Raw genomic sequence first — 27,903 nt, forward strand, 5'->3', positions numbered from 1 at the left:
CTATAGTGAAACATCCAGATATGAGGGAGGAAGCTCCAGGTTCCAGTTCTCCCCCTTTATCGGTGCCTCATCACATGACCAAGTCACCCAAGCTCCCTGAACGTCAGTAAGTTGGTGGCAGAGCTACCGTGATAGTAACATGTATTCCATGTATGATCTGCCCTGGGCTGACCAAGGGACAGACTGCATCATTCAGTCCACAGGGCAAATGTTACATCTCCCACCTACCTGAAGGAGCACCCGGTCCAAGTCATTTTCCATGATAGTTCTCTGCTTTATTTCCTTTACAGCACGTTTTTATCAGAAACAGTATTGCAAATTTATGTGTGGTCTGCCTGCTAGAATGTTAGAAAGCTCCAGGGGAGCAAGGATCACGCACGCTGCCTACTCATAAGATCCCCTAACACATTGCAGGTACCTGATGAATGTCGCCGAATGACTGAATGAGCCAATGCTGAAATTTACTTCAATTCCTCTCTCTACAGATTCCTAGAGATTATGAGACTAGTGCTGGGCTTGCATTCCTCAAATGGCCAGCACCAAATGGGCCAATCTCTCCTACTGCTCGCCCTCCCACTGTGTAGAAGAGAACACCAGAATACAGTTTGATTTTTTAGGAGCTTTTATTGTTTTAGTAATCTTAACATAACTTAAAATAAGAGAGGGGAAATGACATCTGGAGATCTAGGTATGTGGCCCATTGCAATTGAGCACATTTCTTGGGTCTGTTTCTCTATCTCTAAGGGGAGTCTCAAAACCCCAGCTCAAAATACGACACTAACATGATGAACATGCATGAGCTTTGAAAAGTGCTCTGTAGTCTTATGATGATCTAGAAGAGCACTGTCCAATAGAACTTTCTGTGATGATGAAAAGATTCTACTTCTGACCTATTCAATAGGGTAACCACTAATCATGCATGGCTCTCAAGCACTTGAAATGTTGCTAGTGTGATTGGGGAGCTGCGTTTTGAATGTTAACTAATTTAAATTTAAATCTTAAAAAGTTACATGTGGGTAGTGGCTGCCGTACGGAACAGTACAGCACTAGAATAATGCTGTGTCCTCCTGTTACACATACTCATGGTCTCTCCTACTCTCCCTTCATCACACCTGTGACATCTTGCAATTTATATTTGATTGTGTCATTATCTAATGTATTCCTCCTGGACTCTAAGCTCCAAATGAACAAATGCTTTGTCTACTTTGCCATAACTGTGTCCCCAGTGCTTGGCATGGGACCTGGTGCAGAGTAAATACATCATAAATATTTTGTGAATGAATGAATGAATGAATGACCATGATTAATAAAAGGATATAGCTGCTCAGTCTGGTGCTGATAATGGTGGTAGTGATCAAAAGGGTTAAACCACAGGTCATTAAATGAAAACAGCTAACTTAGTGCTTACAGGAACCATACACTCCCTGTGTATAAACATGCCGGTGTGTGTGTACAGGTGTGTGTGTGCAAAAGCATAATGTGTTTGCAAAGGTTTGCATTTGTGTAGTCATGTGTAGACATGTATGCTCATGTGTTTTTGTGTCAGGATAATAAGGTGACTAAGACTAAGACACATGCAAATCACCCAGGAAGGCAGTTTCTAAGTCATTACTTTTTATTTTGAAGGATTTGTGAAACTCTTCACATCATGGTGAGAGTTTGTATGATTAATAAGAAGCAGCTTTTTCATGAAATGCTTGGAGGTGAACGAGTTCTCAGCCTGTGAGATCCGACCATCCCATTAACTTTGAAGTTTCTCTTGATTAATAGAAGAAAAAAGGGGAGGGTGAAGAAAAGGAGGAACATGCTAAAAACCTTATGACAATCATCCAAATGTGAGGAAAGAACAACCGATTCACCAACTCCACTTTTTCTATTTTACAACTTTCTACATCTCACTCTTGATTTTGGCCTTCCTGGCTGAAACAGCCTGGCAGTCCCTAGAGCCCCTGAGAAGAGCCCTGGTTCTCCAAAAGACAGAGGAGGAGAAGCCCTGCAGGATGCGCTGACCACTTCCCAGAGAACTGACAGTCCGTGCTCCCAAAAGTTTGAACCAACAGCCTAATGTGAAAAGAAACTGCACTGAAAGGTAAAGGAGGAAATGGTGATGAACTGGGCTTATGTGAGAATGTCTATATTTTCATAACACAGCCCCAGAATCTTTCTCTCAGTTACAGCCTCAGGCAAACCACGTTCTGGTTGGTGGGTTCTGCAGGGATCTCTCCCACCACTGAGCCTCTAGTCCCAAAACCATCCTTGACAACATCGTGTGTCTGTTACTTCCCTTTGCCCACCTCCAGGCCACCTGGGGAAGCCCACAGGCAGCCAAGACCCTGAAATGAAATGAACACAAAGTCTGACTCGGTAAGTATTAGTTTCAAACAGAACACTAAAGAGAAAAGTTGAAGCTGCAATGTGTGTTTAAGGCAGAGCCCAGCAGATCCGTGTCCACCCATGTGCCAATAAGACAATGGGCAAAGCTACAAATGGCAAGAGAAAAATGGGACTATTAATGCGTGTGGAAAAGGCCTTAATAGTTAAGTTACAGCTAAGAATGTCATGTCTTGGGTTAGAATTTTCATTTTTAGCACCGTTAATGTATTCACTTAAATCTATGTTAGCACCTTGTCTCCAGGCAGAACAACAAACCATCCAAACATTTTAAACATTGGGGGAAACACGAAGGGGAGGGTTAAAGAGAGAATCCGGTACTGTGGAAGGAGTGGATTTAGATCACAAGATCCTTGTCGATATCCTCTGCAAAGCAAGAAAAGAGCACGGTTAAAAATAAGGCTGTGTCGATGATAACGCACTTCCCAAGGAGTCAGTGGACTCCCACCCATCCCCAGGGGCAGGGGTCTAGGTGGCCATGCAAGGTCACCCAGGAAGTCAGTGACGGAGGAATCTCGCTCTCTCTGTCTCTGGCCTGTCCCTGTCTCTTACACACGCTGCCAAGTTACACTTCCTGTTTCCTCTCTGTGTGCCTGCCAGTTCCCAAAATAGTGTTTAGCACGGGTGAGTGCTAACGCTTGAGGAAGGGAAAGAGAGAGGGACAGTTGGATGGACAGAGAAGGATCAGGAAGACGCCCAAGAGACAGGAGTCAAATAGGCAGAGAGAGCAGAGACAGGCAGAGAGGACAGACAACAGACAGACCAAGAGAGCGGAGAGTGGGGGGATGACAACCCAGCACCCTGGGAGCAGTGTTTCTGCCCATGCCCCTTGCTTCTTTGTTCAGACACTCACTCTGCTTGATGCCGAAGCAGCCGGCCCACTCATCCAGGGCGATGTACTTGTCATTGTCCAGGTCACAGGTCTCGAAAAAGCGGGTGGTGCAATGCTCCATGGGGATGAGGGGAGCACGCAGTGGAGCCAGCTCGGTGTGGGAGAGGTACCTGCAGGGAAGGAGGCAGGGGAGGGCCTGAGGCATGGAAAAGCTCCACACCCAGCCTTGGGAGGCAACCGGGGAGTTAGCCTGCCCCAGAGCATGGAGGAAAGGATATTTAAAGCAGGACAAAAAGCCAGAATCCCAGGTCTACCCCTAGCTCTGCCACTGACTGCTCTGAGACTCAGAGAACAGCAGTGCACCATTCGGAACCTCAGTTTCTCCTTCCAGCAAAGAGGAGGAGATGGCCATAATTACTAACGGCCCTTCCAGCTCTAAGGTTTCAGGGTCTCAAAAACAAAGGTCTGTTTGGTGTATTTGATTGTTTCCTAATTGGCTGAGAACTGGGGACACAGAAACTTAAAATCAAAATTCAGCACTTCTGCTATGGGTAGATCAAAATCTAGCATGACACAGCACTGTATATTGTCTATGGACACACATTTATACATCTATAAATGCCTAGTAAAGGGTCTAAAAATGACACACCAATCTGGTGACAGTGCTGCCTTCTGGGGAGGAATGTGGAAAGGGACTGGGATTGGCAGTGAGGGTCAACGGGAGCTCTAACCATCTTCATAGAGCTTTGCTTGTGTATCCTGTAATGTCTGAGAGGGAGGCCCTTTGGATGTCTCTCCCACTGTCCTCCCTCCCTATTCTCCCTGCTGGCCTTAGACTCCAGAGCATGTGTATAATTTTTTTCTTTGTTTCCCAGAGCCCCCAACTACTTGTCCCTAAAGATCCACAAAGGATCTCCAGGGAACAATGTGACTCCAGTTGTCTTCTTAACCTCTAGACCTCGCAGCCCCACCCAGCTCACCAAAGAAATCACACAATGTTTGAACTGATAGGAACATTCTCCTCCCCTTCATTGTACTGGTGGAAAACTGAGGCCCAGGGAGGGGCAGGGATGCAGGCAAGGTCACCTACAGCCCTGGGATGGGAGGAGGAGGAAGCGGGTCCCCTTGCCCAAGCTGGACCCCTTTCCCAGATGTGCTGTTCTTGCACCCCATCTGAAAGCCTCCCTCCAGGCCCTCTGTTGCAGTGGGATCAAATTGCTTTGCCTGAGCTCCAGATGTTCCCCTTTGACTTTTCCCCTCCCTGCCATAATGAGTGACTCAGTTGGATCCCAGCCATGGCAAAAGCCTGGGAGAGAAGTGGCCGGGAGATTCCCAGAGCCCAGGAGACCCCAGCCCTCAGGATCACTGGCAGGGTTGGCAGACTCCAGGCACACAGGCTGGACAAAGAGCGAGGGGTGAACATCCTAGAGAGGAAGTTCCCTGAGTATGTGAGTAGGGCAGCCCTTCCTTTCCCCTCTGTGTGATGCTCTGCTTCCACAACCCAAGGACGAAGAAAAAACCACTCTGGGAAGGTGCAGGTGTAGCTTGCTCCATCTGAGGCTGAGCAGGGGCTCTCACTTCATCACCACAAGAGAAGTTCAGAAGGTAGTGACAGGTTATGAACAGAGTATAAGTCCATGAGGGCAAGGACCATGCCAGCTCTGACTGCTGTTCAATCCCCTGCCTAGAATAGTGCAGGGCACAAAATGCACACTCCATAAGCATTTGCTAACTGGCCAGCTGCCTGCCTGTTCGGCAGTGCAGTTGCACAGGGCCTCATAACTCGTTTGGACAAGGGACAAGAGCCCTCAAACTGGGGGCTTGCAAAATAGACAGGCTTTTTTGGATAACTTCCAGGGTCAGTTGGGCCCTATTGGGGCTGAGCCTTAGGAGGGGGCTTAGACAGTGCCAGGTGGCTGCTCTGCCCCTGGATGTTCTGCTGAAGGACAGGGGGCGTGTGGCTGACCCAACCTTGTCCCCTGCCACCCCTTGGAGCCTGGTACTCCTTCTTAATTCACACTCCTTCATTATCCAGATATCCACGCCTAGTACTTGCAGGATTATGGAGCTATTTTGAGCTCCTACTGACTTTCACCTCAGCATGAGAGTGTCTTATCGGTTTCTTTGTCCCAGGTCCACATCTTTTCTCCAGATGCCTCATCCTTCTGCTCCAATCCCCAGGCAAACTGTGGATGCCAGGGCTTGGAGCAGTATAGGCTGCTGAGAGGCTTTCTGGCCATAGCTAGTGCACCTGCCAGCCTTGAGCTCTGTTCACTCTAGGGTCTGGGGTCTTACCCGTCAATGGGGTGCTGGTCCAGCTGGCCGAACTGCCAGTGTACAGGGAAGATGTACATGTTATAGTTCTTCTCGAAGTCCCGGGCCAGCAGCTCCACGGGGTGGTCTCCTGCCTCCAGGCGCTTCTCATTCTCATGGATCTTCTTCACCTGAGGGAGTAGAGACTGTGTGTGACAAGAGGTCCATGGAGATTGTCTGGACCAGTCGGGCCCTCCCACCCCTCCCAGAAGGCCAGAGCAGGCAGAGACTAGCCAGACCAAAGCTCACAGCGAGGGGAGGGAGGTGTCATAGATGGGTACTAGCATCTCATTCACAAAAATAGAAGCCTGGGATGACCTCAAAGAATTCTCCATATAGCTACCCACATCAAAATCACCTGGCGAAGGCCGGGCACACACTCACACCTGTAATCCCAGCGCTTTGGGAGGCTGAGGCAGGCAGATCACCTGAGGCCAGGAGTTTTGAGACCAGCCTGGCCAACACAGTGAAACTCCATCTCTACTAAAAATACAAAAATTAGCCAGGTGTGGTAGCATGCCTGCAGTCCCAGCTACTCAGGAGGCTGAGGCAGGGGAATCACTTGAACCCAGGAGGTGGAGGTTGCAGTGAACCGAGATCGCACCACTGCACTCCAGCCTGGCAACAGAGTGAGACTTTGCCTCAAAAAAATAAAATAAACATAAATCACCTGGGGAGTATTTAGAATGCAGCTTCCTGGGCCTTGCTTTCTAGAGACACTGTTTCAGTGGCCTGAGATGGGGCCAAGGAATCTGCATTTTATCAGCTTCTTGGGGTAGTTAATATGCTCATTAAAGCTTAAGATCCACAGACTCCAAAGGAAAAAGGAATAGGGCTGTTTGTGTCTCTTTTGTTTAACGTTAGGTTAAGCAAAGGGAGCAGGTCTCTGCTGCAGGACTTCTCAGAGCCTCTAAGATGTTAATGTGCACCACAGCCTCCAAAGGCAGGAAGAGAAGTACGTGTCCTGGTGCTCAGGGGTAAATGCACGCTCCGGAGCAGGATGCCGCCCTGCAGCTGGGGGCCCAGTTCTAGGAATGGGACTGGATCTTCACCAGCACGGGGCCAGCAAGGCCAGAGAGACCACTTACCCGCAGCTTCTGCTTCTCAGTCAGAAGGTTGTTGTCCTCATCCCTCTCATACAGGGTGACCAGGACGTTCTTGAGCCAGTCCCGCATGCGCAGGGGGAATTCGGTCAGCTCAGAGTCCAGGCAAGGGGGGATGTCTAGGTTCCAAACACAAGGGCGGTCAGCACAGACCCTGCCTGGGCCGTGCTCCCCACCCCAGGCCCCCACCCACCCACATACCACCTGCATTGGTGGCCTTGGCACAGTGGCTCAACCTCTCCAGGCCACAGTTTCTTCACAGGACAATGAGCAGAGGAGATTATGTGTGGGAAGAATGCCCTAGAAATGCATTGTGCAAAGGCATGGCTGCTGCTTTCCTCAGCCTAATCTGCTCTGCTCAGGGAAATGGATGGCTCCTGCACCTTACTGGGTGCTGGGCTTTGGGTGTGATCCTAGCTGAGACTGAGCCCATGTTGTTCACGTCAACCACTGGCAGGTGTTTGAAGCTGGGAGGCTGAGGGATCACATCTATCCACAGGCCCAGCTTGGCAGGGAGTGGGGAGTAGAGGACTCAGGAATGTGTAACCACCAGAACCTTCTTAGAAATGATTCCAACCTGGTCTTTGGAACTTAGAATCCCAAATGTTGGACCTGAAGATTTCATCCAAGTCCACACTTTTCTTTTCCTTTTCTTTTCTTTTTTCTTTTTTTCTTCTTTTTTTTTTTTTTAGACAGGGTCTCACTCTGTTGCCCAGGCTGGAGTGCAGTGGCACAATCACGGCTCACTGCAGCCTCAGCCTCCTGGACTCAACCAATCCTCCCTCCTCAGCCTCCTGAGTAGCTGGGACTACAGGCACATGCCACCATACCCAGCTAATTTTTGTATATTTTCCAGAGACAAGGTTTTGCCACGTTGCCCAGACTGGTCTCGAACTCCTGAGCTCAAGTGATCCTCCCTACTCGGCCTCCCAAAGTGCTGGGATTACAGGCGTGAGCCACCGCGCCTGACCCAGGTTCACACTTTGTACTGGACTTATTAGAGGTCAGCATGGAGAGAAGGGACTTGCTCAAGGCCACAATGTCAGAGCCTCATCCAGCATCCAGGGCAGTGTGGTCACCTGGGGGCTTAGGGGTCTGTTCTTCCCTCATCATTGAACCAGGGAAAGTCCCCTCTGTGAGGCTACCTTCATCATCAGCTGGGGTCTGGGAGAGAATATCTGGTGATAAAAACCTTAGGAGTTGAAGTGAGTGGGCAACATGCCTCAGGGAAAGCAAAGCCACTTCATAAAGACTCCTTAAGACAGGCTCTCTAGTCTTGCTGCCCAGGGACTTCCTACCCATGCTTCTTCCCCCAACCCTCCTTTTCTACTCTGTACCTTCTCAATTTCATACCTGGGGTCCCACGAGGAGAACTTTGTTTCCCACCCCCTACATACTTTTCTGCACCCTGTACACCTGAGGTAGGTGAGTGGCTCTCCTCATTGCCATCGGGTGCCAGAATACACAAGACCCACAGTGTGGATGTTGCCTTGGAGGGGGAGCAGGTGTGGTCTTGGGGGTCTCCCATGATAGGGAGGATACTGAACAAGGCACTTGGCCCCACTGAGTTTGCAGCTGGGGTCACTAACCAAAGATCAGACCACACCCTGGCATCCCTCCCCAGACAACTGACTCCCAGGTTTCCAGAAGAGGGTGCTTATCCTCTCTCTTCGGAGGGCAGATAGGAATGTAATGGAGTAAAAGGGTGAAGATATGACAGTACCAAGTAACAGGGCCCAAAGCAAACCGACAGGCATGCCCTTATTTTAAAGCATTCAAAATCAGATATTTTCAAAATATTTTGTAGGCCCAGGTCAAACATCATTTTTGCTTTACAGTGTTGAAGCAAGAAAGATTCAACTTAGCCTGAGAGAAGAAATTCTTCCTCATTAGAGAAATGAAATGCAGTTGTCTCAGATGCTAGTGAGAGACTCCAGAAATCTTCCCTGATGTTGACCTTCCATAATCGCTCAGTCCTTCCCCAGAAAGTGCCCTGAACTCAGAGTTGAGAGGAGCCAACTCATAGACAATTACCTCATTTTATAAATGGGGATGCCGAGACTCAGAAAGGGAGAGAGATTTGCCCAAGATCACCCAGCATGGGGGTGGCAGAGACAGCATCAGTGCCAGCTCAGAGCTCTCTCCCCAAGACAGGAGTCTGGAAGGGCCCAAGGACACTCACATTTGCAAGGCCCGATGTAGTCCAGGTGGAGCTTGTGGCCCTTCTTGGTGCCCTCCAGGGTGCACTTTGTGGCAAAGAAGTGGCAGGAAGAGTCGAAGGTCTTGTTGTCATTGCTGCACACCTGTTGGCAAAGCACAGAGTACCCCCTCCTTCATTCCCAAAGCCCTTCGCTGATACCAATATCCTTGTCCATTTCAGAGATGGGGACACTGAGGGTTAAGCAAGGAATGTCATTAGCCTGAGGTCATATAGTGAGTTAGTGATAGGGCTGGGCCACAAATCCACTTTTTGGGTTCCCAGGTCAATGCTCAGCCCAGGCTGAGAGCCATCGATGGTCTCTGAGCAGAGGCATGACTGAGTCAGTTCTGAGATATAGGGAAAAAAATCCTGGAAGATATTTGAAGAGAAAGTTAAAGACAGGAATGGGAGAGAAACAAGAGTGTTCAAAGAAGAGTTAACATAGCAGGCCTGGAATTGTTATCCTTAGAAAAGGCCTGCTTGTAAGGTCAGCCTGTGGCTGGTGTCTGGGAACTTAGCTGGGAAACAGTTCTCTGCACTGTTGTAAATCTTTCCCTAACTGATAAGAGTGGCTCGCTATGCCTGGACTGTTTGTACAAACAATCTGGTTTATGCTGAACATCTGCTTTCCTTCTGGAAGTGTGAAATTCTGGTGCATGCTAGGCAAAGGGTACCTATGTGACCAGCCTCCAATTAAAACTTTGGGTGCTGAGTCTCTAATGAACTTCCCTGGAAAGAAACATCACTCACATGTGGCTGCCTCTTTGTAGCTGGGGTAAGAATGCACTCTGATGACCCCTCTTGGGAGTCAGTCAGTCTCCACCCAGATTCCTCCAGACTCTGCTAGTGTCTTTTTCCCTTACGATCCAGCTGTATATCCTGAATATGTCGCTGTACTAAACCTTAGGTGTGAGTACAACTGTATGCTGAGCCAATGGAGTCCTAGTCGATCTCTGAACATAGGGGTGGCCAAGCAGAGATGTTGAGGGCTGGACATGCAGTGGCCGTAAGTAGCTGTGTTAGGAGGAGGGGAGCCTGTGTTGAACATCCTGTCCGTACTTATTTAGTATAGCTTATATGTCACTGCAGAGGGAGAACTGATGGGCACTGGTGACTGGGCACTGGGAGTGGGGAGGGGTGAGGAGGAGGAAAATGTTAACAATGATATTAAAATGTGGAGCCCAGAGGCTATGTAGTCTCTGGAGAAACTGAAGATGGAGAAGCCAGATGGGAGGCTGTAGGAATAGTGCTGGCCCTAGATTTGCTGCCATGAGCTAGACTGCCACTAGCATGATGGTAGGCAGGAGCAGGCACTCAAAAAATATTTACTTGGACGGATGGATGGATCCTATTGGAGAGAAGGGACATATTTGAGAGATAATTTAAAATTAAGTAGCATTTATTGGATACTTGTTATGTACCAAACATTTCTGACACATCTCCACAACAGATCTATGAGTTAAGGACTATTTTTATCCTCTCTTTGGATGTGAGAAAACTGAGACCTGAAAAGGTTCGGCAACTTAGCTTAAATCTCACACCTAATAAGTGATGGAGATGAGGTTTGAAGTCAACCTTCAGTTTGGCCCCAGAACCCGTATTTTTGGACCTGATTCTTTGCTGATGCTGTTATACTCTTAGCTCTAAGAGTCTGGCACAGGGCTTGGAACCTGATGGTGCTGTTTAAAGTCTTGCTGGTTGCTGAAAAGATCCAGTGCCAGGCAGAGCACTCTGACTCATCCCCTCTTTCCTGCTGGGACTAGGTCTAGCAAGGGGACTTCTGAGACTGGCACTGCCCCATAGAACCACCAAGCCAACAGTTTCCTGAGCAGACATCCTGTATTCCGAAGTGCCCAATCCCTTCCCCCTGCCCCTGTCTCTCAGCCCTCACCTTCTCAAACTCGCCAATGGGGGCTGGGCAGCTGGTGGGGTCCTGGCACACGCACATGGGGGTGTTGTTCTCATCCAGCTCGCACACCTTGCCGTGTTTGCAGTGGTGGTTCTGGCAGGGATCTGTAGGGCAGAAAGACAAGGGAGTTAGCATCACCTGGACTAGCACATCCACCCCCATCCTACCTGGACAGATCTCAGGGCTGACAGTCCTTGACTGTGGCCCCCACTCTGGGCTTTGGACAGCCCTGAGTCCTGCCTGCTCTTGCACTGAGCCTCACAGTCAACATTTAGGGCAGCAGCTGGTTCAGCCTGGGGATTAGAGGTTTAGCTTGAGATAGAGGTCAGGCACTTCTGGGGGGCTGGAGGCTCAGTCTGGGACCCAGAAACACTAGATACCATATGGCTTTCCTGAAGATTGAAGCAACCATTGTGTTCCTGGGTCTCCATTGAACAATCACAGTGGGGCATTTCTGGATTCCAGAATAAGCTTTCTAGAATGGCTTAGAAAGTCAGCTGTTGACACTGAGCCAGGGAGCTGAGGCCCAACAAAACAGACTTAAGTGGCAGTAAAGGAAAAGGGAGAAGAGCCTCAAAGTCCATGCTGGACAATAGAGCCTGGTAAACACCGGATGAGGTGGGCGTGGAGGCGGGAAGGAACATGACTCAGTAGATGTCCCTCTGTTCAACAGAAACCCTGTGCCCAGCTAGATCAAATACCATTAGCTATCCCCTCAGGATGAGAGCTTAATGTGGCCTTTTCCTCGCAATGCTTTATTTTGGGTGTTTTAATAATCCTTTAGCGGATGCCTACTCAGCTTGTCTGAAAACTTCCCGGCAGCCCTGGGACAAGGGTCTGCCATCTTCATCAGCCCCATATGAGAGATGAGAAACTGAGGCTCCGAGATGCTAAGCAAGCTGGCGTGGAGAAGCCTAGGTTCAAAGCTTGGTTGGACCGCTTCCAAAGTCCTTGCTCTTAACCCCTTGAGTACAAATGCTTTGCACCTAGGGCTGGAGCCAGAGCCCCTAGGTCATTTCTCTCCCAGGGCACTAACGCATGGATAGCATGGTACGGATTATGTCAGGTTGCATTTCCTCAGGACCTCGTTTCCTTGGACTGTGTGAAATAGAATGAGCTTATGAGTGTGCAAGTTCCTGATCTCTTCTCTCAGTTCTACTTCTCTGTGGGGCACGGGCTGATACAGAAGCAATGGGAGATTTCGGTGACCAGATGTGATCAGCGACCTCCGTGGGACTGGGAAACTCAGCTTTGGACTCAGGGCAAAGAGCTATGAGGGGAGAAGCCCATTTCCAGCTGGAGAACTCTCCTTCCTACCACACACATGGATGGCCTGGAAACCGATCTTGCCCAGATCCCAGGGGACTGAGTGCCACAGTTTCCCACTTGTTAAGTCAAAGCCGTGTTTCCTTCATAGCCCACTGAGGACCCCACCCTGCATTTCTGCTGGAAGGAGCCTCATGTAGGCTGTCCTCGTGCCCCAGGCCCAGGCAGCCAAGGGCAGCTTGGATGTGCCAAGTTACAGGGAAGGGACATACTTTCCGCCACCACCTCCTCTTCGGTTTCCTCTGCACCATCATCAAATTCTCCTACTTCCACCTGGACAGGATTAGCTCCCACAGATACCTGGAATTGAGGGAGAAGAATGGGTGAAATGGCCCCACTCCCATCCCAGACCCATAAGGGTAGCTGAAGGGTTCCAGGTCACAGAAAGCACAAACGCAGGGTTGGGAATCCAGATTTAATCTATAGGCCTGCTGTGTTTTGCAGTATGCCTGGGATTCTGTTGAGCTGCCTTAGAGGTCACCAGGGGTGTTAGGGAAAGAGAGTGTGAAAGGAAAATATACCTTGGACCCCAAAATCACTAAGCTAAGGGGAAAAGTCAAGCTGAGAACTGCATAGGACAAACCTGCCTCCTATTCTATGCAGTCATCCCTCTGAGGCTCACCTGAGACAAACGCTTATCTGATTGCTTCCTCTCCCCTATTGTTTATGTAAAAATGCAGATTCACTGAGCCAGATTAAATTGTGTATTCAGGGGAAGGCTGATCAAGGACTCAAAGGAATGCAACCATTTGTCTCTTATCTACTTCTAACCTGGAAGCCCTCACTTCTCAAGTTGTCTTGCCTTAGCGAACTCAACCAATGCACAATTTAGACATGTTGATTGAAGTCTCGTGTCTCCCTAAAATGTATGAAAGCAAACTGTACTCCCGACCACCTTGGACACATGTCTCAGAACTTCCTGAGGCTGTGTCACAGGCACATTCTTAACCTTGGCAAAGTAAACTTTCTAAATTGACTGAGATCTATGTTCACAAGAGGGTGTCAAGCCTCCACCCCTGCCAGCCACACCCAAGCATCTCCCCTTTCCTCTGTGTGTGTGTGTGTGTGTGTGTGTGTGTGTGTGTGTGTGTGCTTGTTTGTTTGTTTGTTTTTGAGATGGAGTCTCATGCTGTCGCCCAGGGTAGAGTACAGTGGCGAGATCTTGGCTAACTGCAACCTCCACCTCCCGGGTTCAAGCGATTCTCCTACCTCAGCCTCCCGAGTAGCTGGGATTACAGGCACCCGCCACCACGCCCAGCTAATTTTTTGTATTTTTAGTAGAGACAGGGTTTCACCATGTTGGCCACACTGGTCTTGAACTCCTGACCTCGTGAATTGCCTGCCTCGGCCTCCCAAAGGATTACAGGGATTACAGGCATGAGCCACCGCACCCGGCCTCCTCTGTTTTACGTTTGCAAAAACTGTGGGTAATCATGGAAGAACAACTGTTGCATAGCTTAAAAAACAAAAATTTTAAGGTCCTGGTCCCCAAACGTAGGGTTCCGTTGAAGGTTTGGGAAGCATTCAGGAGTGTGTCAGGATGTGGGATATACTCAGGGTTTGCATCTATGCTATGTGTGTACAGGGAGACGAATGCCCCACTCTAGCATTGAGACCCACAGCATCCGCCCTAATTTCTCAGGGCACAGATACAGGTAGAGAGGGGCTAAGGGGCTGCGGTCACTGCCCACATACCTCAGTCACCTCTGCCACAGTTTCTTCCACCACCTCTGTCTCATCAGGCAGGGCTTCTTGCTGCTGTTGGAAAGAGAAAGTAGCGTTCAGAGGGGTCAGGAATAAGGCCAGCTTCACCTCCAAAGTGCCTGTGGCCTCGGATACAGGCTAGGGGAGCTTGGAGAGCAGCTTACTGGAGATCCCCAAAGTTGTGCCTCATGGACTGCCATGGTGAGGGACAGAACAAAGAAGAAGCCAGTCATGTGAGCACCGTGGAACACTCAAGCAGCTCCCATTTTATATATTTTATATCCTAGGTGTCTACCTAAGATTTAGCTTGGAAAAGTATTTCTGCTGCTTTGAATTCTTATAAAGTCTGAAAATCACTGATCCAGACCAATTCTTTCACTTTACAGATAGGAAAATTGACATCCAGAGGGGATGACACTGTGAATTTTAACAGATGTCATCATCTTCCTCACAGTGTGATATTATTAGTAGTATTATTAGGCAATTTTTCTTGCCATTTCAACTTGGAGTAGGAGGAAGCAAGAAAACACACAACTTTGAGGCCCTTAGCTGGCTGGAGCTGCTTCAAAACTTAATGCCAACTTTGAGAAACTTTTGCCTCCATCTACCAGCCTGATCAAGATTGCCAGGGTCTGCCATCACTCCCACTTCTTAGTAAACAGAGGATGAGGGGATCACAGGTTGAAAGAAATTGCACTTTTTGCCTGCCCTGTTTCTTCCTCCTCTCCTTGTGAAGGCTTCCAGATGAGCTGTGGATAACTACTCCTGTCCCTGCATGCAATGCTTCGAGGAACTGTCTGTCAATCAAGGGGCCCCACTCTCACCTGGCCAAGAAGCTGGCTCAGGACCCAAGCTCAGCCAGATTGGCTCTCATTTTTTGAATTTATAAAAACCTTCTTGGCACATTCTCTCAAGATGTGAAAATTGCTGGAGTTGATTCATTCAGACAGCAATATCTCAGAGACTGTCCATTAGTTCTTAACTCCCAAAGCCTAGAGCTGCCCTTTTCCAGTCCTCCCCAAGGCCTTTAATATTATAATCTACCTCTGTATCTTCCCCTCCTTCCCCAATTTAGTCAGATTGAACTGTTGCTTACAACCAAACAACCCTCACTGTTTCAGAAGCCAACACATTCCTCTCTCTATAGCTTGAATCTCTTCTAATACCACCCCTACCAGAAATCCCCCACATCCTGTCTCCTGCCTGCTTGAATTCCTCATATGACAAAGAGGTCATTTCCTTCTAAAGCAATCCTAGTTCATTGCTGGGAGGCTCTGACTACTAAGAAGTTTATCTAACATTACATGGAACTCTCTCTTCTCTGATACCTCCACCCAATGGTCCTCATCCCAGTTTTTATCCCGAGCTTCCTAACTTAAGAAAAAAAAAAGACCACTAACTTGAAATGGGGAAGTCCCTGTTCCCTTTCAGCATCCAGGGCTGGCAGGCTCAGAACCCCTGGTGCTAGCGGTAGGAATGAAAACAAGAAGACATGATATTTAGGTACTTACAGGGGCTGCCAAGGCCCTCCCGGCCAGGCAAAGGAGAAAGAAGATCCAGGCCCTCATGGTGCTGGGAACCCTATGGGGAGGAGAGATTGAGAGTTCAGTGAGGGTGAGACTTCCTTATGGAGATTTCCTTCTGAATTCCTGATATGTGCAAGATAATGTTAGATGGTACAAGTTAAATGATAGTGAAAAACATGAGGAGGTTGGTTCCATTTAATATTCTTTCAATTCTGCTTATATGAGAAGAAAGTCTCAGTTTGGTGCCAAGATGTCTTAAACACCTCCTTTATACTCATCTATCTCCTTTTTTAACAAAAAGAGAATAAGCCTCCAGCTCAGAGCTTCCACAGGAAGTTATATCCAGCTGGAACTGAATCAAGTTGTTTTGTTTTTTTTATGTGTTTGTTTTTACAGTTTCCTTCTATTTATGACAAAGGTACACAGAGTTTTTTCCATTTATGGTAGTGATATAAAATCTGCTTTTGTAATACATTTATTAAAGTTTTTGCAAAGTGATTCAACTAAGGTGATGGGCTAACTAGTTAAGTTTGGGCAATGCCAAACCAGATCATCTTCAAGGTCCCTTCAATCCCTGATATTCTAAAATTATTTTTTTCCCTAAACCCAATCTCTCCTCTTCCTCCTCTGTCGCCTCCTCCCCCTCCTTCCTACTCCCTCTGCAATGGGAGAAGTTAATAGGCAGGAACTTCTTGCCAGTTTGGGACAATGAGATCCACATTCTAAAACAAAGAACAATAGTCTTGGAATGTAACCCATGGAAACTTGAGGGTGGCCACATTTTTCTCCATTCTACCCAGAAGAGACAGCACTTCTTTAGGTCCTGTACGGAAACCATCCAGATGCTTCCATGTGTTGCAGAGGGGATGTTAGCTGAGATCTAGAAAATACCTCTGTTCTGGTAACTGTTAAGGCCTCATTCTCTAAATGCCAAGCTCTAGACTCTAATACTCTCATGACTATAAGGGATTTTGGAGCAGTATCTCCTCTGAGGATTCAAAACTAAAATGCTATTCCTAACAGAGGCTCTGTGGTGGAGACATTTCATTTCTTGCACTAACTAAATGGCTTTTCATTCTCAAGTGACTTTAGAAAGTTCTTTCTTTTACTGATCTAAATGTGCCTCCCTCAAACTTTCTGATCTGTCTACCCCATCTCCCCTGCAGCCACAAAGAACAAACCTGCTCTCTCTACCCACAAATAACCTTCCATCAGGAGCAACAGTGGCCATGTCTTCCCTCTTTCTTCTCCCAAAACCTCCCTGTCAGGCTCATCATCCCTTATTTCTTCCAAGACTTCTCAACTGACCAAATGGTGGTGGGAGGTAACCCGGCATCATGGAGAAAAATACTCAGCTTGAAATTAAATGCCAGGGGGTCTTGTTCTACCACAGTAGTATCAAGTCTTTTGGTCTCTCTAGACCTTGGTTCCCCCATCTATCAATTGAAATGGGTAGACTAGGTGAACTTTGAAGTGGCAGCCTCGGTCCTTAAAATGCTCTTAAGACACCCCAAGCACATTCTGGTCTTGACACATATGGTCTCCTCTGGGATCATATGTCTTCACTTGTACTATAGCATTTGGGAAGCAGAAACAGGCAGAGGAAGAGCCCACTTCATAATGGTCCTTTCTTGGGCTTAAAGAGACACAAAACCTCACCCCCTATTGCACAGAGTGAATGAAGTAAAACTAACAGAAATGTAAAGGACCTGGGGGTTTGGTATTGCTTCACAATAACCCCAACTTCCAGAGGAGTCTAGTCTTCCCTTTTGAGGCAGCTTGTGGAATGTTCCTCCCCTCACACAGTTGTTCACTTGTTCCCCAGGCTTAAGTGGAAAAATCTCCCTTCTTGCTTCCCCTTTTGGAAGACGCAAGATAAATAACTCCTGCATGTGGCTTGGGACAAATGGAACAGAAAAGAAAACATCAAGGAAGGACTTGTCTGAGATAGTTTGAGGTTGAAGGATCAAAGTGAAATAGCAGCTAAAACAAAACAAAACAAAAAGTTACCCTGTCTGAGCTATAATGACAGGGAAGTCATGTTATTGAAGAAATAGCCCAGCTAGGACTGGAAATGTAGTAAGCTTCAGATTAGAAAGACAGGAAGACAGACATTTCCCTGAGTCTGCGTCCTTCATATGAGCAGAGTAACCGCGCTCCCCTCTGTGACCAGGGGAAGGTTTCGCTGGGCGGCTCTTCTGTCTGTCCTGCCTCCTCATCTTCCTGAATTCCTTTTCCAGCTGCACACTCACCCTCCCTGCCACCCCCATCCCTGCTGTTGCAGCCAGAAGAGAAAAATAACTCTAAGTCTTATAGTGCTGCTTCATAGTTTCTAAAGCACTGTCACATAACACTGTCTCCTAGAGCCTTCTGACAATGCTGGGAAGTAGGCAGACAGGCATGGAAGGGTTCTTAGTCCCACTGTCCTAATGGGGAATCTGAGGTTGAGAGGGAGGAAGCACTTGTCCAAAGTCATGCAACAATTCAGGCCCTCTCCAAATAGGCAAGCGTTCTCACTCATGGAGTTGGGGTGAGCCTAATAGGAATTACGCTCAGACAAGTGGGAGTGGGGGAGAAATGCAGAGAGACTGTTAAGAACAGAACGCAAAATCTTGGAATACACCTTAAAAGTTTTGGAAGAAAACTGTAAACACAAACACAAAATCTGGGTCCTGCCCAGCACCCGGTGCTACACCACCAGTCCAAGAGCACTTTTCCCCCAGATGATGAGATGGGAGGGAAGGGAAGCGGCTGAACTATTCCAGATGCACAGCCATCTCCCTGCCTCCCCACGAGATACCTCTCTGAGGCTCTCTAAACTACCACTGACCAAAGAGCCCTGTGTCCATCCTGCAAAGCTAATGGAGTATAACAGTCACCCCAGCAAGGTCAGAACACAGTATCAAACCCCAGCATTCAGAACTCACAGCTGTGATCCTTTGCCAATCAAACCTAGGTGTAGCGTGCCTGGCGAAAATTTAAATTCCCTTCATATAAATGACCAATATTAAACAAAAACTCCCTCCTTTGTATTTCTTTAGTCTGTGATGATGCATACATTTATCATTTTCAGGGTGTTTTCATAATCCAGCACCCCACTGGGGGCTCAAGTCACATATTTCTGCCCAATAGTACAGATGAGAAGACCAAGGCCTAGAGGAAAGGAGAAAACTGCCAACGGCTAACAGCAGTGAGTGAGTGACTGGGTGGCAGGGCTAGGGTGAGAACCCGTGCAACCCTACCCCACCACTGGTATGTCTCTACCTCTGCACACTATTTCCCTTGGCAGCTACCCGCTCCCAGGTGGTCACCTGAATGGGGCTCAGTTGGGCCTTGAACTGGCCTGAGTTCCTGGGAAGGAAAATGCCCAGGGCCAGGGGAGGAAGAGAAGGCATATTTCCCTTGGCATGGTGGCCATCAAATGCAGACAGTTTTAGCCCCCTCCCAGCCGCCACTGCCTCCTGTTCCGTACATCGAGTCCCTTCCTTTTGCCTTTATTTGCTCTGGAGACTGCTGAAAACCCGTCCTTGGCTGCCAGCAGGACCTGAAGCTGAGGTCACTTCTCTCTCTGGAAAGACTCTGAGGATGGAAAAGTACAGCCAGCCCCCAGGTTTGTCCCTCAAAACATAAAGGGCCTCCTTTGGGCTCTCCTTGGACGTTAAAAAGCCACTGAACGTTAGAACAGGGGGGATACCTCAGAATCATAGAATCATGGACTGTGGGTCTCAGAATGATAGACTTAGGATGTGAAGCAAAGAAACTGAGTTGCCATCATTAAATCTTATTTGGGTGGAAAGAACTTATGGAGTAATGCAACCCAACAGGACTTCCCAAGATGATGAACACATTCTATATCTACGTGGTCCACTATGATAGCTACTGGTTACAAGTGGTTACTGAATGCTTGAAATGTTGCCAGTGCAAATGAAGAACTGAGTTTTAAATTGTATTTCATTTTAACCAATTTTTTTATTTAAAAATTTTATGCAAAAGGACTGAGGCCAATCCAAAATATCTTACTTAACCCATACCTTGTTGAAATACTGCAATAGAGAATAGTGGAAAACATCTTTTTTTTTTTTTTTTTTTTTTTTTTTTGAGACACGGTCTCCCTCTGTCACCCAGACTGGAGTGTGGTTGGCGCAATCTCAGCTCACTGCAACCTCTGCCTCCTGGGCTCAAGTGATTCTCCCATCTCAGCCTCCCGAGTAGCTGAGATCACAGGCACTTGTGACTACACCCAGCGAATTTTTCTTTTCTTTTCTTTTTTGTAGAGATGGGGCTTCATTATGTTGCCCAGGCTGGTCTCGAACTCCTGACCTCAAGCCATCCGCCCGCCTCAGCCTCCCAAAGAGGTGGGATTATAGGCGTGAGCCACCATGCCCATCTATTTTAATCAACTTAAATCTAAATAGCCACATGTGGCTAGTGGCTACCATGGTAGACAGAGTGATAATAAACTATGAGGCAGTATAGCATAAAGGTAAGCTCATAGGCTCTGGAGCCAGAATATACAGGTTCAAATCCTGGCTCACCACTTAGTAATTGTATGACCTTTAGAAATCAACTTTACCTCTTGGGGCCTCAATTTGTTCCCCAATGTGTAAAATGGAAACAATAACATACCAATCTTTAAAGGCTCATGGGTGATTTACACAAGAGAATCCAAATAAAGAGGTAAGCAATGTTGTCGTTGGGAAGAGCATCTTATAAAGTCCGAGGTTCCCAGAATCTCCATCCCCCGAAAGAATTCAGTGCAAAATTCCAGTGCTTTATAAGCCCAGGGAGAAAGGGGTGTTTGGGTGGAACAAAGGACATATTGCCCCTGTTGGTCTGGGTAAGTCCAGCCTCCAGAGGATACAGTGACGAAGACCAGGCCCAGGGCTGGCCTCTTACTTGGGCAGCTGATACCAGCCAAGCATCTCACTCTCACTATTTGGCTTGGAAACAAGGGCTCCAAAAACACATGTTGCTGGTAAACAAGCCCAAAGAGAGGAAAACAAGCCTAGAGGCTAATAAAGGAAGCCAAGAGCCAGGCCCTCCAGGGAGTTGGGACTCGGAAGGAGCCTGGGGTCTGCTGACATGGGGACCGAGCCAGGCAGGCCAGAGAGGTGGCCACATGCAGCTACAATGGCACTCCTGCTCACACCCCTGGGAGCAGACACAGCAGCTCAGAGGTGGCCTCATGACGTGGAAGTCAGGAGAGCTGAGAGCAAGTCAGCATGTCTCCCAGCTCACTGTGCGAATTCAGGGGAGTCTCCTCTGCTCTCCAGAACTAACACCCCCAGCTTGTCTGTATAAGGTCAGTGCTCAAAATTATGTAAGCCAGAAAATCCTTTATTTCAATGAAGTCTTCTGCAGAGTCCGATATTTCAAACAGCTGAAATCTTTTAGCATGTACTGAACCATGTGAATGAGTATTATCTAGTTAATCAATAAGTGTGAAATTAAAAAACAAGAGCAGGCTGGGCGCAATGGCTCACGCCTGTAATCCCAGCACTTTGGGAGGCCAAGGAGGGTAGATCACCTGAGGTCAGCAGTTCGAGACCAGCCTGGCCAACATGATGAAACCCCGTCTCTACTAAAAATACAAAAAATTAGCCGGGCATGGTGGCGGGCGCCTAAAATCCCAGCAACTCGGGAGGCTGAGGCAGGAGAGTCACTTGAACCTGGGAGGCAGAGGTTGCAGTGAGCCAAGATTGTGCCATTGCACTCTCGCCTGGGCAACAAGAGTGAAACTCCCTCTCAAAAAAATCCACAAAAAAGAAAAGCAGATAAAAGTGGAGTGGAGCTGAGGAGTGGGAGTCCTACACACAGGGACATTCCCTAAGATACCTTGGAACATCTGTACTTTCTCCTAGGAACACAATATGGAACCCTTAGGCAAGGTGGTCCTTTAGGTTCTTTTCAGCTCTGATTTTCCGGATCAACTTGGGCAGAAGCTTTTTAGAGCCTTACCTCTCTCCACTTGCCCCTTGACTCCCTGCTTCCACTTCTATTTCCTGCTGGAAGGAAAGACGCTAAAGGAAACTTTTAAGGTGTGGTAGCTAAAACTTAGGACTGGAGAGCTTCTGGGGCAACTCAGAGGTGGCTCCAGAGTTTGGGGCTGGAATCAGCCCGAGATTCCATAAAGACATCTGAGATGCCACATTTCACTGTGGCTAGCAGAGGCTGGGGTGGAGCTTCAGGCTTCATCCTTGGCTCCCTCTAGGGCACCGCTGCTGCATTGTGGTGACCACAAATGAAAGGATGAGAAATAACATCAAAGTGTCCAGGCTATTGCATCTGGAAAAGCCTCCGAGATCCCAAAGATAGCAAATATGTGGCATATGTGACAAACACGTGGCCTCCACCTACCCCTCCTGCACATGTGGCAGACATTACTAATCAATCGCTTGACCTCTTCTCCTAAAGCTTAGAGAGTCATCAGAATCCTGAACACAGTTCTTCTGACAGCCACTACCGATGAATTAGTGATGTTGTCAGGCCACATGAAACCTCTGTGTGCTGCCTCTTATTGTAGAGGTAGAGAAATTGAGGCTTAGAGAAGGAAAATACCTCACTGGAGGTCACACGGCAAGCTGGTGTCTAAGCCAAATTTCCAGATGTTCAAAAACATCCAGATGTTTGCTTTGCTTTTTTTATCTGATAGGTCTGAAATCCTAATGCCATGACTAACATCAAGATGACCCAGAGTGATCCCCAGATGAGAGAAGTTAATACCAAGTTTCTGAAAGAAACCAGCTCTGACAACAATTGTTGTCTATGTTCATGTTTTCCTTGCAGACATAAAGTTCTATAGCTTGATGGGTGAGAGCAGAGATGATTTCCTGTCTAAGCTGCCAGTTGAGGAGAGGCTGTTTCTCTAAATAATTCCGTCAAGTCACTACTTGCTGGCCCTGGCCCTGCACAGCCCAGCTGTCCCTGGGTTCAGGATTGAGGTTGGGAGGGAGGGAGGGAGGGAGGGAGGCATCAGGGTCTGTGCTGTAGAAACAAGGTCCTCAGGGTTGCTGAAAGCTCAAGGCTGGTTTTCCCTTCTCTCCTTTGAAACTGACGTTTGGGAGGGAGCCAGCTAGAAGCAAGGGAGCAGCCGCCTACAGGCACATCATGCAGGGCCTTTGGGCCTAATGACAAAGCCACGTGGGCTGGAATAGGCATTGCAGGCCAGCCAACGGGAGAGACAAAGTGCTGCTCACCACTTAGTATCCATGGGGCTTGTGTGCATAAGTGTGTTTCCAAACTGAACAAATGGGGATTGGGGGGGAAGGCAAGGTGAATATCAAAATGGCTCCAAACACGTGGAAGTTTGGCTCAGACGCCAGCTTGCTATGTGACCTCCAGTGAGTTATTTTCTCTTCCTGAGCCTCAGTTTCTCTCTCTCTGAGACATAGAGGTGGTTGGTGATAAATGTAGGTTACACGTCTGTCTCATTGTCATGATCCATATTATGTTTGACTGTGCATATGTTTGACTGTGCACATCCATCCATGTGTGGCTGCAAGTGGCGGTGTGTGTTTGTATACCTGATGGCATGTCTGTGTAAGTTACATACAGCCTGACTTAGCATCTGTCTGTTTCAGCCTGTAATAGGCGAGGGTCAGAATTTTCACATTCATTGAGATATATTCCTGGAACTTGTCTGTAAATCATTGTCATCCAGGAAGAGGTGTGTGAGTGAATGACTTTCTGTGTCTGCTCCTGTAATGAGGCACTTATTTTTAGCTGAGCCAGTGGGTGCCTGTTGATGAAATCGATGTTTATACTCTTCATCCCTATGGGTTTGTACCTGTCCCTGTTTATCTCTGCATATTTATCTACCTACATAAACAACTTCAAAAGCCAAATATTCTACTGTTTACCTCACATCCTCAGCTCTTTCCTTTCCTTCACCATTCTTTCTTATTTATAGCTTGTTTTCAGCAAGGAAAGCTGCTCTCATGAATAGCAAACCCCAGCCACACTGTTGATTGACAAATCTCTACAGATGGATAAGGATTACAGCATGATGGTTATGCAACTCAAGATCCCCTAGCCCATCTTTTCTTGTTTTCTTTTCAACTGGGGGTGCAGTAAGGCGGTGTTAAAAATGCAGGCAAGCTATTCCTTTGAATAAAAGCGGTATCTGGGATTTAGGTTTATAGGACTTCAGAGTTAGAAGGGTGCCTGGGAAATCATCTAGCTTAGAAACTCTATTTAACAGTTTGGGAAACTGCAGCCTCAAGAGAGGAAGTGTCTTTCCCAATGTCAGGCACTGGGAGTTAGAACACACTTTTTTTTTTTTTTTTCACCCTTGGCCAATGCTTTTCCTACATAGAGGGCACAACAGTCTTGGGAAATACACAAGAAGTTCCCCAAATCAAAATGAAGATAAACAATATTATGATTTTAAAATTTTTCCTGTCAGTACTTCTAGTAAAGGAAAGTTCTATACAAACCCCAAGATGATGGAGCTGCCAGGAAAAAAAAAAAAAAAAAAAGCTGAGAATGATTTCACTAGGTCTTTGGATGCCTTTAATCCATCAGTTCTAAAACCCTTTGCATTATGAGGGAATGCCACAATTCGCAAAGTGCTTCCCTGTGCATTATCCCATTTCTTCTACACACTATCTACCCCCTAGAGGTGGCTGCTGTTACTGTTCTTTAACTGTAGAGGGAATGGGGCCCAGAAAGAAGTATTAGTTCAAGGTCAAATGGTACCTTCAGGGCACAGCCAGAGCTAAAACCCAGGTCTTCAAACACCCTTGCAAGGAGATTATCATGGCCCAAGGCTTCCCCGGAATCCTGAGAGATCACAAGGGCAGGGCCTAGAATTTGCTGCAGGCCTTGAATTTGGGGGTGGGGTACGTTCAGACTGATGTTCTTAGAGGGTTTCAAGGGTCCCCTCCAGCCAGCAGGCAGAGACCCTGAAAAAAAGGTTACCGTGGCAACTCGCATTCCTCGGAGAGTGAGTCAGGCAGAGAAGAGCCTTCTGGTGGGTGGGACTTGGAGAAAGTTTCAAAAGTTGATTCCTTCTCCAGGCAACCCCCTTCTTCTCCTCCCTCCCCCTCTTTGCTCTAGGCTATGTCGATGTGGCAGCTGATAGCTGAGAGTTAACTCTCTCTTTCCTCAACCACTCCCTTTTCAGAAGGCTTCATCCTCCAGCAAATACACACATTTGTTACCAGTCCTCACTCCATCCCCACGTCATGCCCTCTAATCCATTTGAGAATATCTTAAAGCTGAAAGCTGTGACCACCCATATTCATCCTCTCTCTCTCTCTCTCTCCCTCTCTCTCTCACACACACACACACACACACACACACACACACACAGTGCATACAATTTTTAGGGGCTTAGAGATGGCTTGAGGCCCATTCAAAGACCACTCCATAGACCCTGGTTAAGAAATCTTCCTTTGAATATTTTAGAGGACACAAAGCACCCCAAAGAGCCTTCAGTTTCAGCCTTCTTTCATTACAGATGGGGCACTAAATCCAGGGGAGACACTTACCTAAGATCACACATAAAATGCATGCCCGAAGCCTGTGTCCTACTTCTGCTTTGCTTCTCACTAAACCACCAGCACTTGGGGCGTATAGAAATTTAACTCTAAAGCATTACTAGAGAAAACATTTTCTCTAATGAAAAAAATGCTGTCCTTTCCTGAGGAAAATGCATGCCTCTCTGTTCCCTTTTGGGCAGACTGGGAATCCTGGAAGACATAACTCATCCCAGTGCCCCCCTTCCCTTGGAGTCCTTGGAGTCCCTTTCCCTAAGGAAGTCCACTTGACAGCCAGTTCACGGAGCCAGTGGCGGCGAAGAAAGGTAGTGGATTTGTCTGAAGAAGAACTGACACCCTGACAGGCTGGACACTAGTCTTGGGTGGATTACGGAAGGGGACCCTGGAATTCTCTCCCTCTTCCCTTCCCCCTTTCCCCCTTCTGAGAATATCTCCCCCAGCACACTCCACCTCCCATTACACCCATGTCTTGGTTGACGATATCTGATGTCTGGGTTTTCAGATCTAGATAAACTAAGGGCTACTGCCTGTGTTTACCATCCCAAGGAACTCAGGACAGGAACAACACCTAACCCAAGACTGAGGTTGTGATGGTGCCATTTCAGGCAGAATGGTGCTGAAATTTGTGTATTGGGGGGACGGAAGGTGGTGTTTGGGAGTGAGGAGAATTAGAGGAAAACAGAAGGCTTCCCAGAGGTGTGGATTAATGGTGAAGCCTCCCCCTTTGCCTTTCAGAGATCAACTGATTGTTCGTGCAAAGTCCCTTTTGGAAAACAGAACCCCTGACCGAGATCTGGAGGACAGACTCCGGTTGCTGGCCAGGTCCCTGTGGCAGCTGTGATGGGATCAGATTCCCAGGAAAGGAGGAGGCTGCCACATTTGCAAAGGGAGCAAAGAGGACAGGCAGGCAGCCTCTGAAACCAGAGACAGACACAGAGAAAAACAGAGAGTGAGAAAATGCTCCCCCGAAGACATAGTGAGATTATTTTCTGTAAACCTGTAAGGGAAGACAAAGTTACACAGTGAGTCCACCTTCTGAAAAGCAACAGGCAGACAGGACCGAGGGCCATGCTCTTAAGGGGAGCCGTGATGGAGCCGGGAGGAGAGGCGCATCCTCAGCAGAGCTTCCCTCCCTTGCACACGAGCTGACGGCGTGAACGGGGGTGTCGGGGTTGGTGCAACTATAGAAGGGAAAGGCTGGGCGGGGGTCACACATACCTCAGTGGCAGGCAGGCAGGCGGCAGGCAGAGCGCGCTCTCCGGGCAGTCTGAAGGACCGCGGGAATGTGGAGGGGTTTAGAGACAGGCAACAGGAAACCACTCAGAGCTCTGGGCTGGGTCTATCTCCCCTCCACCCCGTGGTCCCTCCTCCTCCTGTCTCCTCCTTCCCCCGGCCTCCTCCTTCTCCCATAGCCAAAGCTGTCTCTGTCTTTCATTTCTTTCCTCCTCTTTTTGCGGTGGGCTGTCCTGACCAAACGTCCCAACCCTGCCTGCCTCATCTGTTCCGGGGCTGCTGCCTAAACCGACTCACAGAGTGCCAGGGCTGGACAGGCCTGGAGGGATGACCCAGAACAGCCTCTTTCTTGTTCAGAGGGCAAGTGAGGCCTGGAGACTGCAAGGAATTACCCAATGGCCCCCAGGGGCAGAACCAGGCCCAAGTGTCTTGATCTTCTAACCAGTGAGCTTTACAGGAGTCCTCCCTAATATTAGGCAATGCTGAGAAGGGCCAAGCAATTCAAGGGGGTTGTATTTGCCACAAAGGCAAGGCCAGGACTTACCACTGTACAGACAAGACAAGCTGCTACTAGTGGTATCATCCTTGATGATTTGGAACTGGTCTTAAAAAAAAAAATCCCACTCAAACTCCACTTGTACCACTAATAGACACATAAGGGATTAGACATCTAGCTGGTGGACCTGTGCCACCAGTATTGAACAGATAAGGTAATTGATGATATTGATGATAATCATAGGAGTAACAATAGCCAAAGTTTACTGAGGATTTAATAATCTTCACAGCAACCCCTTATCTTAGGCATTGTAATTATGACCATTTTAATAATAAGGAAACATAGATGCTAAGTAACTTGCCTATGATCACCTGGCAAAAAGTGGTATGAGAGGGCTGATTCTACGTTTCAACTTGGGTCACTCCTGTTATATATGAACTGCTCAGTGCAACAGGTCTTGGTTGAATGTTTATTTTGTGCCTAACACTCTGGGAGGTATGAGAATTAATAAATACCTGGTCCTTGTCCTCAAAAAGTTTTGTGGTTTCCGGTTTTTTTGTTTGTTTGTTTTGTTTTGTTTTGAGACAGAGTCTCACTCACTCTGTCGCCCAGGCTGGAGTGCAGTGGTATGATTTCGGCTCACTGCAACCTCTGCCTCCCGGGTTCAAGCAATTATCGCGCCTCAGCCTCCAGAGTAGCTGGGATTACAGGCGCACATGCCACAACACCCAGCTAATTTATTGTATTTTTAGTAGAAATGGGGTTTCAACATGTTGCCCAGGCTGGTCTCGAACTCCTGAGCTTGGGCAATCCGAATGCCTTGGCTTCCCAAAGTGCTAGGATTACAGGCGTGAGCCACCGCACCCAGCTTAGCTTTGTGGTTTCTTAAATTCTTTTTTAATTTTTTTAGACGAGTTAAGTGCAGAACTGAGAAGGGAAAAAAAGTACAAGGAATTCAATCTGTGACTGTGAACAATCAATCGAGATAACTCACTATTCAAGGAGCTTTGGATCTTGCTGAAAGGTTGTGCCTTACACATACACCCACTTACATGAGTGGTACAGACTCTAAGGCTTATCCCAGGGCTTCAGATTGGTGGATTCCTGAAAGAGGTGGACCTGGAAGCATGGGTTGGGTTTGAATACCATGGAAAGGAAGAAGGCAGAGAACACCCTCATGATACACTTCCATCCGCTGTGGCCCCTGTCTCTCTTGCCATTCTCTCCTCCTACCACTGTCCTCTGTGCCCACGCTGCTCCAGCCATGCCAACTTCCTTCCAGTCCTTCAACTACCCCAAAGCTTCTCCCACCCCAGGATTTTTTTTTTTTTTTTGAGACAGACTCTCACTTTGTTGCCCAGGCTGGAGGG

The 27,903-nt window shown here is 47.8% G+C and overlaps 1 protein-coding gene and 1 long non-coding RNA gene across 4 annotated transcripts, besides 6 other annotated features; one reads left to right on the forward strand and one right to left on the reverse strand.

The window, feature by feature from the left end:
• On the reverse strand, positions 254 to 26,073 carry SPARC (secreted protein acidic and cysteine rich). 3 transcript variants are annotated; one of them, NM_001309443.2, is made up of 10 exons: positions 26,023 to 26,073; positions 15,290 to 15,359; positions 13,770 to 13,829; positions 12,287 to 12,374; positions 10,731 to 10,852; positions 8,822 to 8,942; positions 6,625 to 6,758; positions 5,519 to 5,667; positions 3,245 to 3,393; positions 254 to 2,757 (listed from the first exon to the last, which is right to left on the reverse strand). In NM_001309443.2, the coding sequence occupies exons 2-10, from the start codon at positions 15,344 to 15,346 to the stop codon at positions 2,729 to 2,731; spliced, it is 909 nt and encodes a 302-aa protein (NP_001296372.1). In that variant the 5' UTR covers positions 15,347 to 15,359; positions 26,023 to 26,073; the 3' UTR covers positions 254 to 2,728. The 3 variants fall into 3 exon arrangements, with proteins under 3 accessions (NP_001296372.1, NP_001296373.1, NP_003109.1); NM_001309444.2 differs by having other exon boundaries at positions 254 to 2,755; positions 13,770 to 13,832; NM_003118.4 differs by having other exon boundaries at positions 13,770 to 13,832.
• Positions 1,798 to 1,937: an enhancer, noted in NCBI's record as "active region_23460". NCBI's record gives its function as "activates an Ori minimal core promoter by ATAC-STARR-seq in GM12878 lymphoblastoid cells {active_cell/tissue: GM12878}" and the evidence as "EXISTENCE:reporter gene assay evidence [ECO:0000049][PMID:35858748]".
• Positions 2,395 to 3,594: an enhancer, noted in NCBI's record as "MED14-independent group 3 enhancer chr5:151042798-151043997 (GRCh37/hg19 assembly coordinates)". NCBI's record gives its function as "activates an origin of replication core promoter dependent on BRD2, BRD4, P300/CBP and CDK7 cofactors, and independent of MED14, by STARR-seq in HCT116 cells {active_cell/tissue: HCT116}" and the evidence as "EXISTENCE:reporter gene assay evidence [ECO:0000049][PMID:35650434]".
• Positions 2,930 to 2,979: a silencer, noted in NCBI's record as "silent region_16524". NCBI's record gives its function as "represses an Ori minimal core promoter by ATAC-STARR-seq in GM12878 lymphoblastoid cells {active_cell/tissue: GM12878}" and the evidence as "EXISTENCE:reporter gene assay evidence [ECO:0000049][PMID:35858748]".
• CLMAT3 (colorectal liver metastasis associated transcript 3) lies at positions 16,103 to 27,068 on the forward strand. Its single transcript, NR_109873.1, has 5 exons — positions 16,103 to 16,205; positions 18,378 to 18,494; positions 18,814 to 18,914; positions 24,987 to 25,109; positions 25,540 to 27,068. It is a non-coding gene; the product is annotated as a colorectal liver metastasis associated transcript 3 (long non-coding RNA).
• Positions 23,526 to 24,355: an enhancer, noted in NCBI's record as "NANOG-H3K27ac hESC enhancer chr5:151063929-151064758 (GRCh37/hg19 assembly coordinates)". NCBI's record gives its function as "activates a minimal SCP1, AML or CMV promoter by ChIP-STARR-seq in naive H9 embryonic stem cells {active_cell/tissue: H9 hESC(naive)}" and the evidence as "EXISTENCE:reporter gene assay evidence [ECO:0000049][PMID:30033119]".
• Positions 25,184 to 26,013: an enhancer, noted in NCBI's record as "H3K27ac-H3K4me1 hESC enhancer chr5:151065587-151066416 (GRCh37/hg19 assembly coordinates)". NCBI's record gives its function as "activates a minimal SCP1, AML or CMV promoter by ChIP-STARR-seq in naive H9 embryonic stem cells {active_cell/tissue: H9 hESC(naive)}" and the evidence as "EXISTENCE:reporter gene assay evidence [ECO:0000049][PMID:30033119]".
• Positions 26,014 to 26,841: an enhancer, noted in NCBI's record as "H3K27ac hESC enhancer chr5:151066417-151067244 (GRCh37/hg19 assembly coordinates)". NCBI's record gives its function as "activates a minimal SCP1, AML or CMV promoter by ChIP-STARR-seq in naive H9 embryonic stem cells {active_cell/tissue: H9 hESC(naive)}" and the evidence as "EXISTENCE:reporter gene assay evidence [ECO:0000049][PMID:30033119]".

The sequence above is a fragment of the Homo sapiens genome, chromosome 5 (genome assembly GCF_000001405.40).
Source record: "Homo sapiens chromosome 5, GRCh38.p14 Primary Assembly".
NCBI lineage: Eukaryota > Metazoa > Chordata > Mammalia > Primates > Hominidae > Homo > Homo sapiens.